The sequence below is a fragment of the Homo sapiens genome, chromosome 19 (genome assembly GCF_000001405.40).
Source record: "Homo sapiens chromosome 19, GRCh38.p14 Primary Assembly".
NCBI lineage: Eukaryota > Metazoa > Chordata > Mammalia > Primates > Hominidae > Homo > Homo sapiens.
The window spans coordinates 18,305,789-18,323,180 of NC_000019.10; the positions used below are offsets into that span (position 1 = coordinate 18,305,789).

The 17,392-nt window shown below is 56.3% G+C and overlaps 1 protein-coding gene and 1 long non-coding RNA gene across 5 annotated transcripts, besides 5 other annotated features; one reads left to right on the forward strand and one right to left on the reverse strand.

Annotated features, from left to right (window-relative positions):
- Positions 1–447: 447 nt before the first annotated feature.
- Positions 448–17,288, reverse strand: LSM4 (LSM4 homolog, U6 small nuclear RNA and mRNA degradation associated). 2 transcript variants are annotated; one of them, NM_012321.5, is made up of 5 exons: positions 17,230–17,288; positions 10,236–10,277; positions 6,816–6,914; positions 3,890–4,073; positions 448–1,767 (listed from the first exon to the last, which is right to left on the reverse strand). In NM_012321.5, exons 1-5 carry the CDS (start codon positions 17,230–17,232, stop codon positions 1,676–1,678), a joined length of 420 nt encoding a protein of 139 aa, NP_036453.1. In that variant the 5' UTR covers positions 17,233–17,288; the 3' UTR covers positions 448–1,675. The 2 variants fall into 2 exon arrangements, with proteins under 2 accessions (NP_036453.1, NP_001239058.1); NM_001252129.2 differs by lacking the exon at positions 10,236–10,277.
- Positions 1,153–2,110: an enhancer, noted in NCBI's record as "H3K27ac-H3K4me1 hESC enhancer chr19:18417751-18418708 (GRCh37/hg19 assembly coordinates)". NCBI's record gives its function as "activates a minimal SCP1, AML or CMV promoter by ChIP-STARR-seq in primed H9 embryonic stem cells {active_cell/tissue: H9 hESC(primed)}" and the evidence as "EXISTENCE:reporter gene assay evidence [ECO:0000049][PMID:30033119]".
- Positions 8,754–9,254: an enhancer, noted in NCBI's record as "H3K4me1 hESC enhancer chr19:18425352-18425852 (GRCh37/hg19 assembly coordinates)". NCBI's record gives its function as "activates a minimal SCP1, AML or CMV promoter by ChIP-STARR-seq in primed H9 embryonic stem cells {active_cell/tissue: H9 hESC(primed)}" and the evidence as "EXISTENCE:reporter gene assay evidence [ECO:0000049][PMID:30033119]".
- On the forward strand, positions 9,881–16,209 carry LOC105372300 (uncharacterized). Of its 3 annotated transcripts, none has more exons than XR_007067157.1 (2): positions 9,881–10,046; positions 15,946–16,209. It is a non-coding gene; the product is annotated as an uncharacterized LOC105372300 (long non-coding RNA). The 3 variants fall into 3 exon arrangements; XR_007067156.1 differs by having other exon boundaries at positions 9,957–11,892; XR_936365.1 differs by lacking the exon at positions 9,881–10,046 and adding an exon at positions 13,729–14,433.
- Positions 12,451–12,745: an enhancer, noted in NCBI's record as "tiled region #14103; K562 Activating DNase unmatched - State 5:Enh". NCBI's record gives its function as "activates a minimal TATA promoter and a strong SV40 promoter by Sharpr-MPRA in K562 cells {active_cell/tissue: K562}" and the evidence as "EXISTENCE:reporter gene assay evidence [ECO:0000049][PMID:27701403]".
- Positions 12,826–13,572: an enhancer, noted in NCBI's record as "H3K27ac-H3K4me1 hESC enhancer chr19:18429424-18430170 (GRCh37/hg19 assembly coordinates)". NCBI's record gives its function as "activates a minimal SCP1, AML or CMV promoter by ChIP-STARR-seq in primed H9 embryonic stem cells {active_cell/tissue: H9 hESC(primed)}" and the evidence as "EXISTENCE:reporter gene assay evidence [ECO:0000049][PMID:30033119]".
- Positions 17,169–17,348: a silencer, noted in NCBI's record as "silent region_10389". NCBI's record gives its function as "represses an Ori minimal core promoter by ATAC-STARR-seq in GM12878 lymphoblastoid cells {active_cell/tissue: GM12878}" and the evidence as "EXISTENCE:reporter gene assay evidence [ECO:0000049][PMID:35858748]".

Below are 17,392 nucleotides of genomic sequence, written 5' to 3' on the forward strand. Positions count from 1 at the left end.
CCCAGCTACTCAGGAGGCTAAGGCAAGAGAATCGCTTGAACACACGAGGCAGAGGTTGCAGTGAGCCAAGATTGTGCCACTGCACTCCAGCCTGGGCAACAGAGCGAGACTCCGTCTCAAAAAAAAAAAAAAAATGCTCTTGTCCAACAGGCAGGTGGGTGCCGTGGGCCGGTGCATCCCAAGGCTTCCAGGCCCGGGCCCCCAACTGCTGCCCCTGCCTGTGTTGAGGGGGCGGGTTTGTGAGGTTCAGGGCAGGCCACATCCTGGACCCCACATGCCCCATCTCTAACCATCAATCAAGTGCCGCTGTGGCGGAGAGGATTCAGGCGACTGCAGATATCCATCCCTGTCCCCCACCCCACACACAAGGAGAACATCCCAGGCGAGGACATTGTAAATGCAAAATCTATACGATGGCAAGTAACTCTGAAGACTCAAGAAAAAGAGTTCCTCACGGACGGGACCTTTTATTCCAATCACCTCTCAAAATAGGTCTCCGAACGAGGACCCTGAAGAGAAGGCTATGCAGGGGGACGGGCCGCTGCCTGGCTCAGGGCTTCCCTCTGGTTTCTTCACGGTCCACAGATGCTACCCGGAGCCTTTCTCGAAAGCGCTGACTCAGTGTCTCAGGTGCGCGCCCGAGGAGTGGCAAACCCGGCCTGGCTCAGAAAGGGGGCAGGAGCCTCGTGAGAATCTTCCATGAGCATCTTCCGAGGGGATTCCTGTCCTGTCTTCTCTGTGTGAACGCCAGTGTGGACAGATGAGGATAGATGATGGAGTCCAGGCCACCCAGGAGGGGGTGATGGGGACCATGCGTGGCCCCTGCCTGGGACTTCCCTCCCCACACACCCCTTGGCATTAACGTCTCCACAGAGGGGAGAGGGTTATAGGACAACCTGGTGTGGGGGGCGCCGGGGACTCTCAAGAGCCCCCACTGTCCAGATGCTGGTCTTGCCTTTTGTAAAAGGACATCAGTGCCTCACTGTGCCGCTGACACCTGGTGAGAACTCTCAAAAGGAAGCTTCCCTTACGGGAACGGGGATTTCCTGAGAGTCCAGCGATGGACAGAGGGCAGGAGACCCGCTAGGTGCACCCAGAAGCTCAAAAGGAACAGTGGATGTGCAGTGTGTAGTTTTATTTGTTTTTATTTCCATAACACAAGAGAGGAAGCGAAGGGCCAGGGCCCGAGGCATCCCCTGCACGGTTCGAAGGCTTTCAACCGTCCCGGGTTTGTTTTGAAGGCAATTTTGGGGCCGCGCCCAAGGAAACCCTGCAGGCTGTCAGTCCCAGCATGAACAGCTTAAAATAAAAATCTCCCGTCTGGTTGCTGCTCGGAGAGGCTCCAAGAAATGCAAAACAAACCCGCCTGGAAAATGCTGCCCTGAGAACCAGAGCGAGGGCTTGAAAGATGCCTTCAACACAGACTCTTCTAGGAATCCAGCCAGTTTTGGGACGGCCGTTTCACAAAACCAAAAAACACCAAGTAACATTTCTAACCGGAGAATTGCCGGTTTTAGCAAGAAAAAGGGGCTTCACCTAAAAGGGAGGGTCACAAAACACGAAGGGGGTTCCCCCTGGCGCCTGCCTCTTCCTTTCTGAGCAGATCCGTCCGAGACTGTGGAGCGGAATCGCCACCCTGGCAGGAGGGGGCGCAGCAGCCGGTCTGGGTGGGCGCTCACTGTTTGCCCGCCTGTCTGCCAGGCTTCTTCTCTGGCTGGCCTCTGCCTGTGCCCGGGATCCCACCTCGGCCCCGGCCACCAAACACACCTAGAGGACAGAGAGAGGGCGCTGCAGCAGAGCCAGGTGGGTGGGACCTTCGACAGGATCCCGGCGCCCTGAAACTCTAGGCCAGGTCACCTAAGTCTCCAGCCTCAGCTTCCTCATGTGTGAGGTGGTGACTGAGGGTGCTTGGATCTCCTCCGTGGGGCAGAGCATCTGAGGAAGGCAGGAACTCCAGGGCATCCTCATTATGGGACTAGACCCAGCCCCCAGGGATGCGGGGGGGGGGGACTAGGCGACAGAGGACACTAAGTCACATTGGGGGTTGGGGCAGGCTTCCTAAAGGACAAAGCCAGAAGGGTTTCCTGGAGGAGGAGGAGGAGGTAGGAGAGGCGTGGAGCAGAGACCAGGGCAGTAGGCCAGGCTGGGGGCTCCCTGGCGGGGGGGGGGCCTCCTATGCGCCACAACCACCCACAGCCCCTCATCTACCTGCCAGGAGGAAAACAGAAAGAGGGATTTCTGTGTATCCAGCCCCAGGGATGGGGAAGGGGAGGGGACTCCCCAGCAGGCCTGAGGCCAGAGATAGACCATGAGGACAAATGACATTTTCCATGAAGCCCCTGAGGTGGGAGCATGTGGCCACTGGGGAGGTGACAGGGGGTTCCCGGGAGATGAGGGCCCCAGGGACTGAGTGGACGCTACAGCGGCACCTCCAGTAATCCTGAGCAGGCTGCACGCAGGGCACGCCTGTCCCCACACCCTCTGTGTGCCTGGCGCCCCTTCACGCCACCCTCACCACAGGCCAGGCCTGGACGCAGCAGGTTGGTCAGGCCGGGACCCAACATTGATCCCTCCCTCTCTGTCTCCCTTGGGGACCCCAGCTCTGTAAGCCCCGTTTAGGGAGCCGTTTCAGAGAACTTTCTAGCTGGACGAACGCTTGAGGAAATCAAAGCTGGAGCTTCAAACAGCAGGAGAGCCAAGGCCAGCAAGAGGAGCTGGCCCTGTGGCCCATGTGCTGGGTGCCAGGGGCCAGAGGCCAGCGCTGCAGGCAGCATAGCTCAGGCCCTCCACAGAGCCCGCTGGGAGGCTCAGTCGTGGGCCAGGGAGGTCTGGGGACAGGAGGACTGACCCCAACAGGAACTGGAATCACGGTCTACTCTGCAGACCTCAACCCCGTGAAGGTGGGGTCAGGGGTCCAGATTCAGAGGATCTAAGAGGTCAGGGCTCTCACCAGCCAGGGGCCACCAGGCCCTGTGGGGACAGAGGCCAGAGGCCAACGCTGGCCTGGGCCACCAACCTCCCCTCTCACCAGGCAGGACCAGCTGTGCTAGGGTGCACAGCCTGGTGGGGGTTACTGCGAGGCTGCTATCTGCACTCCATGGCCCAGTGGCTTCCTGCAGAGCAGCCAGAGAAAACCCCCCACTTCCCTAGGTAGGACCCGACCCACTCTCTCAACAACCTTGACCCCAACTACTGGGAAGGAGCCAGGCCGGGGACCCCAGAGGCCCCACCCACCCTGAGATCCCCAAAGCTCCCTGCCTGGAGTACTATCCCTGCCCCTCCCTCGGGCTCACTCCTGACCACCTCGTGAGCCTGCACAGAATTGGCGCCTGGGGCCTTCCGGGGGCAGCCATGCCGTGCTGCAAGCCCCCAGGCTGGCACCTGAGCCCAGCACACAGGCAGTGCCCATGGATGGCAGAAGCAAAGCCCAGGTCCCCCCGAGAACACAGAGCTGGGGACAGAGAGGTGAGGAAGGGCAGGGGCTACAGATGGCCCCTGGGCCTAACAAATGGAATTTTATGCCAATTCATCATCTCCGGTGGGGGCGGGCGACCTTGGCTCTGGATAGAGCCACGCCAGGTTCCAAGTGGAGTTGCCAGCGGCCTGGACAGATGGGCACCACCATACCCTCTCAGAGGGGAAACTGAGGCTTGGGGAGGTGACTTGATGTGCCCTGAGGACCGCCAGGAGGCGCAGTGAGAGGAGGGCTGAGTCCCAGGTCTCGGGGCTCCTCTGCCTGGGCCTCGGCTCATGGCCAAGGACCAGGAGGGGGGCCCGGGAGGGTTGGGAGGCTCCGAGGCAGCGCTGCAAGGGCAACCCCAAGAAGGAGGGATGCCACGTGTGGCTGTCTTCCCGCCCCAGGTACGTCCACTGGAGAGGGGAGACCCACCTCGGCCAGCGCCGCCCATGCCGCGGCCTTTCTGCTGCTTCTGCTGCTGCAGGCCTCCGCGGCCGCGGCCCTTGGCCACCACCTCCTCCTTGACCATGTCGATGATCTCGTCGGGGATGCGCAGGTACTTGATGGTGCTGCCGCGGATGTAGCACTCGGGCATCCGCCAGAACTTGTCCCCGTCCTGCGGAGAAGGGGAGCAGGTTATTAACTTACCACCGGGCCGTCTGGCCCAGCCCTGGGAGCGCGGGAGGCCCTGCAGATCCTGCCCAGCCTGCACCCCGTACCACCCCTGCAAGCTGCACAGTATCAGTCCCGGGACATACGTGGCAAAGGGTCCACCCTGCAGGCAGGATCTGTCCTGACCCCAGGCAATCCTTCACCCAGGAGCAAGGGTGGGTGTGGTAGGCGCAGCCCCCATTGTGCACTCACAAGGAAGACTGGCTCCTATCCTCTGCCCGTGGGCCTGGCTCAGGAGTGGCTGACTGGGGCTCCCTCCAGCCTGGGATGGGGCTCTCTCTGGTTGGGGTTCTTCACCTGCAGCCCAAAGCCCAGAGCGGGTGGGGGCCTCCCTGTGCACCAGACACAGCCGAAGCCCAGCTACTCCTCCTCCTGCCCCAGCCCCACCTCACTTCTGGAAGCCTCTCTACATGCCCTGACTCATTCATTCATCTAAGTATCTCCTGACAGGGCCTGCGCTGGGTGCAGGGACATGCGAGCAAGCTACAGGCCTAGTGTGGTGGGTGAAGAGGGGCGGGAAATGGGGGGACTTGGGTCCTGCCAGGGTGGCTCAAGGGCGGCTCCCAGCGATGCCAGTTTTAGGAGAGCTAACCAAGACTGGAGAAATGGGGGCCTTGCAAAGACACAGACTCATGCTGCAATGCCTCCGAGGCCCCCACTGGGACAGATCGAGGGATTAGCAGGGGCCAGGGCCATTCCTACCATATCAGTTTCCCAGCCCCGCCCCACCGCCCAGGTTCCTGGACAGACCCACGCACGACGCCTGGATGGCCTTTGCCCCCGATGCCCTTTAAAGTCAGATCACAGTATGTTCCAGCTTGGAACCCACCCAGGGCCCCCTCCAGCCTGGGGGCAAGGTCTAAGAACCTCAGCAGGGCTCTCTAGGGCCCGAGATCCTGCCCCGCCCTGGCGGTCCTCTCCCAGCCCGACGACACTCCCTCCAGATGGAACTTTCTGTTTCCGGAACACACGCCATGGGCTTGCCCCCAGAACTTTGCACGTGGTTTTCCCACTTCTCATCTGGCTAACTTTGACCCCAAAAGGCCTTACCTGCCCGAATCCCCAAGTCCTCCTGTCAGACACTCTCCTCCACACCTGGGTAGGTGTGGCCTGGCCTAGCGCTGGGCGGGGAGGAACAGCCCCTTTGGGTGCTCACTCTCCCAGGAACCCCTCGAGGGCTCGTGGGGCGGACACACCATGGTTCTGTGGGGACTCAGGGCCTGGGCAGGTGACTTGGCGCCCAGCTCTCCCAGGCAGGGCCCAGAGGCTTCCTCGTGCAGGAACCTGGGCAGGGCCTGAGCTCACTGCAGGGAGGCCCCTGCCTCCTGCCCACAGCGCTCCAGAGGTCTCTCAGCCCGGGGTCTCTGCATCCTGCGGCCTGCCTCTGAGGGAGGGAGGGCCCCACTTAGATGGGGACGATGTGAGTTCCCATCGCCTCTCCTCCCAGCCACATGTGACGGCAGCATCACCGCCTGGCCACAGAGGCAGGCTGCTCAGGGAAAGCCATCCGTCCACTCGAAGCTGGAGGCAGAGGCCAAACCAACCCCTGGAGACCACGCAGCCTCTGAATCAACAGGCTTCTCATGTCTAGGACCTGGAGGTGTCCACAAGACCGCACATGCTCACGCACGCAACACGCCTGGTGATTCCAATACCGGAAGTGGACAGAGCCCCGCTGGCCGCAGATGGGAGGCACGCGGTTCTGCACCAAGGCACCATCCGACACAGCCAGACTGGACCCACCCAGACGCCCTCCGACAGGCTATGGCACGAAACCCAGCAAGCAGTTTCTAGAGCTTCTAGCGCTGCTGCACAGCAGCCTCACCACCTGTCCCCACCCCGCCCAGCCCTGTGCTGATGAGAGGCCCAGTCCCGGGTGGGGGTGGCGGTCAGGGCAAGATACGGCCACTTCAGGAAGAAGCGCCTCCCCCCTCGAGCCCTGTTGTCCTGTCAAGGTGACCCCAGGCAGGCACTCCAAGCTCCCCAGCAGTTTCCTCCCTATACCATGGGGGGCTGTCACCCACAGGGAGACAAGACAGATGGGGTCAGGGAAGGTTGGTGGGAGGAGTCCAAGGGAGCCGCTGCCTTCAGCACCATCCCTGGCCTCCTCCTCAGTGCTCTGTGGGTCATCCCAGGGGCAGGGAAGGCCCGTGACACCAGGGGAACCATCTTCCAGCCCCGGCCGACCCAGCAGCACTCCTAGCCAGGCACTTCCGGTCTTGGGCTCTGGCTGGTGGCTCCTGACCCACCGGGCCCTGGCGCTGCTCCTGCCCACCGTGACCTGGGCATCCCGGACATCCCAGGGCCACACTACCATGGCCCGCAGAGTGCAGGCAACATCCAGGCTGGACTAAAGGCAGCAGAGTCCGGGAGTCTTGGGCCTCCCCTGGAGGGGGCTGCCCCAGCCTGAGCCACAGGGAGTCCCCAGTCCTAGGTCCTTCCAGGTCAGGGGTGGCACCAACAGACACACAGCAGGAAAGTCTCCCACAGGGTCAAAGTCCAGGGCACACTGGGAGACTTGGTGGCCTAGCTCACCCTGCCCTGTCCCTCCTGACTGACCCCTGGAAGGACGAGCAGTCCTAGGCGGCCTCCCCCACTGACTCCTCCCATGAGGCCCAGGGAGGGAGGGAGGAGGCTGAGTGTGCACCCCCTGCATCCCACCCCCGTTGGTGGGTGCAGCACCCACCCTGGACGTGCAGATGACTTCTCGCAGGTTAATGTTCATCCAGTTGTCGCAGCTCACCAGGTGTCCATTGTACGTCTCCCCATTTTTCAGCTCCACCAACTAGAAGAGAGACAGGCTAGAGGTTGGCTGTAGCCCTGGAGCCCTGCGCCATGGGCCCCTCAGGAGGTGTAGCTCTGCCCTGAGATGGACCACCACCTCCGGGCCTCAGCCCACAGTTCCCAGACCCCTAAATGGCCTTCCTTACAGGCGACAGGCTCTGCCTCCGCTAGACACTTCGCTGGCAGTTAGACAGTCTATCATGACGCCAACCTTTGTGCAATTAAAAAATGATACTGGGCCGGGCGCGGTGGCTCACGCCTGTAATCCCAGCACTTTGGGAGGCCGAGGCAGGCAGATCACGAGGTCAAAAGATTGAGACCATCCTGACCAACATGGTGAAACCCCATCTCTACTAAAATCATAAAAATTAGCTGGGCATGGTGGTGCATGCCTGTAGTCCCAGCTACTCGGGAGCCTGAGGCAGGAGAACTGTTTGAACCCAGGAGGCGGAGGTTGCAGTGAGTTGAGATAGGGGGAGGTTGCAGTGAGCTGAGATCGCACCACTGCACTCCAGCCTGAGCAACAGAGTGCCACTTGGTCTTAAAAAAACAAAAAACTAAGAAACACAGAAATGTTTAAAGGAATAAGTGAGACAATGGTGATGGTGGCCACTGATCCAGGGTGGCTGGGGGCCAGGTGGGCACAGCTGGGCTGGTCCTGGCAGGCACCCCCACAACACCAGATATTTGGGCTTCAGTGTTCCACAAATGCTGTTTTTTACTGCAATAATTACTCATCTATTTTGGTATGTTTTGAGAACAAAGATAAGTAGCAGATCATTCTGAGGATATGCTGCTGTTAGGAAAAGACTGATATTTTTTGGTGTCTTTTATGAGACAGGGTCTTGCTCTGTTGCCCAGGCTGGAGTGCAGTATCGTGATCATGGCTCACTACAGCCTCAACCTCCTGGGCTCAAGCCATCCTCCCACCTCAGTTTCCCTAGTAGCTGAGACTATAAGCGCACACTACCACATGTGGTTAATTTCTTTTCCTTTTGTAGAAGTGGGGTCTCACTGTTGCCCAGACTGGTCCCAAACTCCTGGGCTCAAGTGATCCTCCTGTCTTGGCCTCCCGGGGTGCTGGGATTATAGGCATTAGCCACCACACTCAGTCCAAGCCTGAGATTTTCTTTTGAGATGGAAGTTTCTCTGTTGTTGCTCAGACTGGAGTGCAATGGTGTGATCTCAGCTCACTGCAACTTCTGCCTCCCGGGTTCAAGTGATTCTCCTGCCTCAACCTCCCAAGTAGCTGGGATTACAGGCGCCTGCCATCACGCCCAGCTAATTTTTTAGTAGAGACGGGGATTTCACCATGTTGGCCAGGCTGGTCTTGAACTCCTGACCTCAGGTGATCCACCCGCCTTGGCCTCCCACCAGGGCTGAGATTTTTAAATGACTCAACTTAGGCATCTGCCCAAGAGAAATGAACACAGGCAACCATACAAAAATGTGTGCGTGAATGTTCACAGTGACACTGTTCGCAATAGCCAAAAAGGGGAAAGAGCCCAGATGCCTATCAGCAGACAAACACATAAACAAAATGTAGGCCGGGCGTGAGCCTGTAATCCCAGCACTTTGGGAGGCCGAGGCGGGCGGATCACGAGGTCATGAGATCGAGACCATCCTGGCTAACACAGTGAAACCCCGTCTCTACTAAAAAAAAAATACAAAAAAAATTAGCCAGGCGTGGTGGCGTGTACCTGTAGTCCCAGCTCCTCAGGAGGCTGAGGCAGGAAAATGGCGTGAAACCAGGAGGCGGAGCTTGCAGTGAGCCCAGATCACTCCAGGCTGGGCGACAGAGCTAGACTCCCTCTCAAAAAAAAAAAAGTGGTAAGTATCCGCTCCACGGAGTATCGTCTGGCTATAAGGAATGAGGCACTGACACAGGCCACAGGGTGGATGAACCTCAAAAACACGTTGCTGAGTGACAACCACCAGGCTCGAAAGGCCTCATGGTCTCCGTTCGCATGCATGGGAAATATCCGGAATAGGCAACCCCACAGAGACGGCAGCTGCCTCATGCTCATCAGGGACTGGGGCTGGGAAGTGACTGCTGATGGAAATGGGCTTTCCTTTTGTGGAGACGGAAATGTTCCGGCCTAGATAAAGGTGGTGGTTACACAACCTGTGACTGCACCAAATGCCACTAAATTGTGCACTTTAACTGAAGTGTTAGTATGTAATATTATCCTTTTTTTTTTGAGATGGAGTCTCGCTCTGTCACCCAGGCTGGAGTGCAGTGGCGCGATCTCAGCTCACTGCAAGCTCCGCCTCCCGGGTTCACGCCATTCTCCTGCCTCTGCCTTCCAAGTAGCTGGGACTGCAGGTGCCCGCCATCACGCCCGGCTAATTTTTTTGTATTTTTAGTAGAGACGGGGTTTCACCGTGTTAGCCAGGATGGTCTCGATCTCCTGATCTGCCCGCCTCGGCCTCCCAAAGTGCTGGGATTACAGGCATAGAGCCACCACGCCCGGCCAATATTATCATTTTTTGGAGACAGGGTTTCACTGTCACCCAGCGACCTGCAACCTCAAACGCCTCAGGCTCAGGTGATCCTCCTGCCTTAGGCTCCCAACTAACTGGAACTACAGGTGCACGCCACTACACCCAGCTAATTTTTATATTTTATGGAGAGACGTGGTTTCTCCATGTTGCCTAGACTGGTCTCTGAACTCCTGGGCTGAAGCCATCCTCTAGCCTCAGCCTCCCAAAGTGCTGGAATTATAGGCCTGAGCCACCATGCCCAACCTGAAGTTCTTTTTATTTTTTTAAGTGACAGGGTCTTGCTATATTGCCCAGGTTGGATTTGAACTCCTGGGCTCAAGTGATCCTTCCACCTCATTAATTTTCTTTTTCTAGAGACAAGGTTTCACTCTGTCGCTCAGACTGGAGCGCAGTGGTATGATCATAGCTCACTGCAGCCTCAAACTCCTGGGATCAGTCGATCCTCTTGCCTCAGTCTCCTGAGTAGCTGTGACTATAGGCACACACCACCTCATCTGGCTAATTTTAAGTTTTTCTTCTTGCCCAGGCTGATCTCGAACTCCTGAGCTCAAGCGATCCTCCTGTCTTGGCCTCCCAAAGTGCTGGGATTACAGGCGCGAGCCACTGCAACTGGCCCATTAAATTTTTAGTAAGTATGTATGTATTACTCTTACAAGCAGCAGAAATGACAGGAGTGTGGACACTCCTGGGGAGGGAGAAGAGAGCAAACTGCCATGCTGGTGGACAGGCAGGCCAGGAAGCCGTCTGCTCAGCCACCGCCCCTGTGCTGAGGCTGGCCCCCTCTCAAACAGGCTTTCCCAGACCACTGAGTACTCACCATGGGGTGATTCTGAGCCGTCTTCAGCAGTGACAAGGGAAGCTGAAAGGCAAATAAAGCCACATGATTTGTCTGTTTGACCAGCGCCTGGGAGCTCTGGTCTTGAGTCCCACCCATGACTCATAGATGGTGCGGTGCGGTTGAGGGGGCACAGGAGTGCGTGTCAATCACCCCCCACTGGAAATGCCATTTCCTCACTCTGCCCAGCCCTGGAACACACACCTGCCTCTCAGATTAGGAAGAAAAGCCTCACACACCCTCCCTACTCCCGTAGGTGGCCACCACCTGCTCTTGGTGCTGAACACTCTGGTCAATTTTTTTTTTTTTTTTTTTTTTGAGACGGAGTCTCGCTCTGTCACCCAGGCTGGAGTGCAGTGGCATGATCATGGCTCACTGCAACCTCCACCTCCCGTGTTCAAGCCTCACAAGCAGCTTGCCTCAGCCTCCCAAGCAGCTGGGGACAACAGGCATGCGTCACCACACCCAGCAAATTTTTGTATTTTTAATAAAGGCGGGGTTTCACCATGTTGGCCAGGCTAGTCGCAAACTCCAGACCTCAGGTGATCCACCCGCCTCGGCTTCCCAAAGTGCTGGGATTACAGGCATGAGCCACCGTGCCTGCCCTAATGCTTGTATTTTAAGCTCAAACTGGTATCTCTGAGATGCATCCATGTTGATGAGGTTACTCTGAGTATGGAGTTGAGGACACTACAGCTTGGAAACCCGAGGAACTTGCCCAGTACTATGGCGCTAGGAGGAGACAGAGCTGGCCTGGTCCTGTCTGTCTGAAGCAAGCACAAGACCATGCCTTGCAGGGCAGCCCCAACTGGCCCAAGACTGACACTGCCAGGCCCCAATGCAGGGGTCAATCCCATCAGAGAAGGCCACATCTGAGCTGGTTTTATTTTTATTTTTTTAGATGAAGCCTTGCTCTAAAAATACAAAACTTTGCTGGGCACGGTGGTGCGCATCTGTAGTCCCAGCTACTTGGGTGCTGAGGCAGGAGGATTGCTTGAGCCTGGGAAGCAAGCCTGTCACCCAGGCTGGAGTGCAGTGGTGTGATCTTGGCTCACTGCAACTTCCACCTCCCGGGTTCAAGTGATCCTCCCGCCTCAGCCTCCCAAATAGCTGGGATTATTAGGGGTGCACCACCATGCCCAGCTAATTTTTGTACTTTTAGTAGAGATGGGGTTTCTCCATGTTGGCCAGGCTGGTCTTGAACTCCTGACCTCAAATGATCTGCTTGCCTGGTCCTCCCAAAGGGCTGGGGTAACAGCATTGAGCCATCACCCCCCGCCTGAACTGGGTTTTCTTTTTTTTTTTTTTTGAGACGGAGTCTCGCTCTGTCGCCCAGGCTGGAGTGTAGTGGTGCAATCTCGGCTTACTACAAGCTCCGCCTCCCGGGTTCATGCCATTCTCCTGCCTCAGCCTCCCGAGTAGCTGGGACTACAGGCGCCCACCACCATGCCCGGCTAATTTTTTTTTATTTTTATTTTTGTATTTTTAGTAGAGACAGGGTTTCACCGTGTTAGCCAGGATGGTCTCGATCTCCTGACCCCGTGATCCGCCTGCCTTGGCCTCTCAAAGTGCTGGGATTACAGGCGTGAGCCACCGCACCCGGCCCTGAACTGGGTTTTCAAAGACAGGAAGTCACCAGGTAAGGTGAACTTTCAAGATTTTTTTTTTTGATGGTGACAGGCTTTTACTATATTGCCCAAGCTGGTTTTGAACTCTTGGCCTCAGGGAATCCTCCCATCTCAAGCTCCCAAGTAGCTGGAATTATAGGTATGCACCACCACGCCTGGTTTCAAGATGTTTTTTTCCATCATTACTGAATTTCTTTATTATGTCAAATATGTAGTATTTCTATTACTGGGGGGGAAATCAACACTTTCATTTTGGAAACAGAAAACTCAACCCGTACGCTGGGAGCTGCCTCGGGTAACGCAGAGCTGTGCCTGGGTGCGGGGTCCTATAACATGCCCGTTCTAGTACTGCCATGAGGAAGGCCCCAGCACCAAGGGGCCCTGACAAGACAGTGCCTCATGGGACACAGGCTTCACCTAGCCCTGTCCTGGTGACTGGAATTCCAGGTGGCCCTGACCCCAGATGCCTTTGCTGGGAGTCCTGCCCTGGCCACCACCCTAATCCACAGTGTGGCTGCTTTTCCAGGTGGTGTGAACTTGAAGGCCTCTCCCTGTGGAGGCCGGAAATGGCCCTCAACCCTGGCCGGGTGGCTCCCCAATGAAAGGAAGGGGTTGGGGAGGGAATCCTACATCCCACAGCCCCTTCCTGAGAAGAGCTGCCCAGGGGAGGTTGGTGCCAGCAGGAAGCCAGGCCCAAGCCCACTTCCTGCACCGGCTTCCTGGAAGAGCCAGATAAGGGGGAAGAAAGGGCCATGTGGCCCCGGGGCAGCTGCTAGGAGAGGCAGGGGAGGAGGGCTGCGGGCGGCTGGGTGTGCATCTGACTGGGTGCCACCAGCCACAGAGAAAACACAGGAGCCACAGACTGGCACACGGGTCTCATGCCCAGGTCGCCCTTTACTGTGAAGAAGCCGTGGGTTTTCCTCAGCAAGCCTGTTTTCTTTCTCTAGTCCGTAACAGGAACGGGACCTTGGACCTCCTCCTGGATCACCAGGGAAGGCGCAGAGGTCAGGCTAGCCCTTAAAGGCCCACCTCTCATTCTGCAGAGGAGGCGCCAGCGCCCACAGCAGAAGTGACCTGCCCAGGGACATCCAGCAAGGCCCTGGCAAAGCTGCCCAGAGGCAGGTAGCTTGTAGACACACCTTCCATGCCAGTGACAGACCCTCTTGGGCCACCACCTGGTCTCAGCGACCAATAGCACAGCCTGGGAGGACCCACGGCCTCCTTGCCTGTCACTTGCAGTCCCATCCAAAAAGCAGCAGAAAGAACATCTGAGAAACAAAGAGAGCTGGTGGGATGGCCACGGAGGCTCTCGCCTGTAATCTCGGCACTTTGGGAGGCTGAGGCGGGCAGATCACCTGAGGTCAGGAGTTCCAGACCAGCCTGGCCAACATGGCAAAACCCCACCTCTACTAAAATACAAAAATTAGCTGGGCGTGGTGGTAGGCAACTGTAATCCCAGCTACTCAGGAGGCTGAGGCAGGAGAATCGCTTGAAACCAGGAGGCAGAGGTTGCAGTGAGCCAAGATTGCGCCACTGCACTCCAGCCTGGGCAACAGAGCGAGACTGTTTCAAAAAAAAACAAAAAACAAAAAAACAAAACAAAAGAAAGACTGGCTAGGCGCCGTGGCTCATGCCTGTAATCCCAGCACTTTGGGAGGCCAAGGTGGGCGGATCACGAGGTCAGGAGTTCGAGACCAGCCTGGCCAATATGGTGAAACCCCATCTCTACTAAAAATACAAAAATTAGCCAAGCATGGTGGCGCACACCTGTAGTCCCAGCTACTTGGGAGGCTGAGGCAGAAGAATCGCTTGAACCCAGGAGGCAGAGGCTGCAGTGAGCTGAGATTGTGCCACTGCACTCCAGCCTGGGTGACAGTGACACTTCATCTCAAAAACAACAACAACAACAACAAAAAACCCAAATAGGGTTGGTGCAGACCCACTCTCACAACACTCCTCAGGCCCGCTATAGAGTCAAGGCAGACAGGCTCTGCCACACTGGCCGCCACACCCATTCCTGCCACCTGACCTTTGCTTCTGCTATTGCCTCTGCCTGGGGTGACCTTCCCCAGGCTGCTGAAACGTCACCTCCTTTGGCCAGGCCCTTTTAATGGCCACCCTCTGCCTCATGGGTGTTTGTTTCCATCATAGGATGCAGCCAGTCTTTAATTACCTTGTTTATTACCTGTGTCCCTCGCTAGACTGGAACACTCAAAGTGGGTGTGGACTTTGTCCAGGGCCAAGCACAAGGCCAGGCACATGAGAGGGACTCGGTAAATATTTGCTGAATAAATACACAAGAAAAATGCACACACTACCCAGGGAGGCATGCAGGGAAGGCAGAACACTCGCCCCACCCCACAGGTAAGGGAAGGAGTGGCTGCGGGACAGGGAGCTGCCTGACTCCCAGGCCCTCCCAGGCTGCAATGGCCTGGGCCTGTGACCATATATCTTGATTTCTCCTACATCCTCATCTCCAAACTCTGTTGGAGAGAGGTCAGAGGAAGGGGTGGATCCTCAAAATCTTAAAAGAAGATACATCAAAGTGCCAGGTGAGGCTGGGCACAGTGGCTTGTGCCTGCAATCACAGCACTTTGGGAGACTGAGGTGGGAGGATCGCTTGAGCCCAGGAGTATGAGACCAGCTTGGGCAACACAAAAGATTCTGTCTCTACAAAAAATCTAGAAATTAGCCAGGTTTAGTGATGCATGCCTGTGGTCCCAGCTACTTGGGAGGCTGAGGTCAGGTGGGAGGATCACGGGCCAGTGAGGTTGAGGCTGTAGTGATTGTGCCACTGCACTCCAGCCTGGATGAGAGTGAGATCTCAGCTCTGAAAAACAAAAAAAGTCTAGAGTGCAGTGGCTCACGCCTGTAATCCCAGCACTTTGAGAGGCCGAGGTGGGTGGATCACCTGAGCTCAGGGGTTCAAGACTAGCCTGGCCAACATAGTGAAACCTGATCTCTACTGAAAATACAAAAATTATCCAGGTGTGGTGGTGCGTGCCTGTAATCACAGCTACTTGGGAGGCTGAGGTAGGAGAATCACTCTCGGAGAGGTGGAGGTTGCAGTGAGCTGAGATTACACCACTGCACTTCAGCCTGGGCGACAGAACAAGACTCTGTCTCAAAAAAATAAATAAAATGAAATAGAAAAAGAAAAAAAGTGCCAAGTGTGATAGGAGAGGCCCCACCCTGGTTTATGGAAGGTCACAAGAAAATTCAGAAAAGAGAATTCCTTTCTCTGGGCTTTCTTGGAGCATCTGGAATCTGGTTCTCAGGTCTAGATCCACGAGGACCTAAACCCAGTGCCTCCTAATTCAGGAAGCTGTCCAGGACTGCCCATCCCCGCTGCTAACCTAGGCCACTCCTTCTGGCCCTGCCCTGACGACAGGGAACTGGAAGTGTGTATCCTGTGATGGCTTGTCCATTCTCGGCTACTCCTCCAGGAAACAGCTGGACAGCCAGGACTCTGGATGTTCAGAAGGTGGGAAGGGGCTGAATGAATGAGTTCACACTTTGCCCACGCACCGTTCTACATACTGGGAATCTAGTCGGAAGAAAAACGAAGATCCTGCTCCCACAAAACTTAACACAGGGATGGATCCTTCCAGCTCTGCCCAGTCTTACATGCCAACTCTGCCCTCTAAGTACACCGCAGAGAGGGACAGGCTCTCTGAATCCTTGCACTTGAAATCGCCTTTGCAAAAATTGTAGCGGGAAATTATGACAGTGAAAAGAGATCAGACCTAACCGACTCCATTGTGCTTCTAACCTTTACGCCATCTTTGCTTATTCCTAGGTATAGGCCAAACTAACCTTGGGAAGGGATTTAGTTTATAGTTTGACTCTGGAACAAAATTGGTAATAGCCCTTTCCCGAAAAGACCCTCTTCTTGCCTGGGGACCAGTCTGCCTTTGTAGGACTAACAAATAAGCTACAAGATTAGAAATTACCATTTAGGTAACTTCAGCCTCTGGCTGCAAGAGTCTGAAACTCCCCAAATTGCTCCTTGGGATAACATCACTATTATAAAATCTAAGATCAGTGCTTGAGATATTTTGCAGACCCCGTACTTGACGGATCAGCTGACACTACCCAGACCAGTAATCTGGCTCAACCAGTCCTGCGATCCCACCCAGGAACAGAAGACAGCAAGAAAACCTCACTTCAACACTCCCGTCGATGACTCCATCGACCTCAGGAAGCTCCAACCAATCAGCACTCCCCACTTCCTGAGCCCCTACCCGCCAAATTATCTTTCAAAACTCGGATCCCCTAATGCTCAGCGGAGACTGATTTGAGCAATAATAAAACTCTGGTCTCCTGCATAGCTGGCTCTGTGTGAAATACTCTTTCTCCACTGCAATTCCCCTGTCTTGATAAATCTGTCTAGGAAGACAGGCAAGGTGAACCCATTGGGTGGTTACACACTGACCAGCCGGATTTAGGGAGAGTTCTCACTAATCCACAGTTCTGATGCAGCCACCCCTGGGGGACCCTCCTGGTTACTGAATCTCCCACTGTCTCACAGAGTCTGGAAGTCACATCCCCAACAAGGGCCTTGGTTTCTCTCATTGAAAAAAGAAGGACCAGAAGCTGATGGGCCAGGAAACTCCCAGCTCTGAATTCCTTTTCCGATCTGCACAGTGGGGGACACGGGCACTTTCTAGCCCAGATCCAGAACTTCCAGAATCATAAACAATGGGCCCTGCAGAGACCTGGGCCGCAATTTTTCCTTCTTTGTATTGGGAGGATGTACTTTGTCCACCCCTAGCTCAAAACGCCCCCTTCCGCTGGAATGACATGCTATGTGACCCAAGGAGAAACACCACACCCCAGCACCAGGCCTGCTTTTCAGCCAGAAACCAAGAGGCCTAGGAGGCTGTGCTGCTAGCATCTTGCAAGCTCTGAAATTCCTAAAACTAAGTTTCACAACTCAGACTGGCCCCCTACTTCCCAGCACTCTAGTTTTCAATCAGGGAGGTCAGACTGGGCCCGAAGCGTAAGGGACCCCTTCCCTGCCCAAAAACTCTCTGCTGCATTTGGCGGATCCCCACCTTTTTTTTTTTTACTTCAGTTTCCCCACCTGCAAACTGGGAAAACTAACTAAGGCGAGGCCACTGTACTGTGGATACAAGTCCGTGCAACCCTAAATCCCAGACACGAACGTGATAGAGCCACCTGCAGTCTCCGGCCTCAGTTTCCCAGCCTCGTGCCGGGGGGCGGGACTCGAGGCTCGGACCTTACGTTCGCCCCGCGCCAACCAAGCCCACAGCGCCCGCCCGCAGGGATCCCAACGACTGCTGTTCCCGCCTCCCGGTGAGACCCCGCAGTTGCCCTGCCCTCACCATGGTGCCGGCGGGGACCGGGCTCGCCGGCCACTTCCGCCGCCGCCGCTGCACACGCTCCCGGCGGTCGTCGCCGCGCCGCGCGCCACTAAGCTGAAAGAAAGTGGCAGAGACGCAAGCCAGTCAGCACCGGGCTCGAAGGGCGGTCAACCAATCCACGCGG

Excerpts from the sequence above, each read along its gene's own strand:
- LSM4 (NM_012321.5), bottom strand. Across the intron at positions 6,915-10,235 it reads CGGCTCAGAATCACCCCATG|TTGGTGGAGCTGAAAAATGG; the intron begins GTGAGTACTCAG and ends TCTCTCTTCTAG. Across the intron at positions 1,768-3,889 it reads CATGGGCGGCGCTGGCCGAG|GTGTGTTTGGTGGCCGGGGC; the intron begins GTGGGTCTCCCC and ends TCTGTCCTCTAG.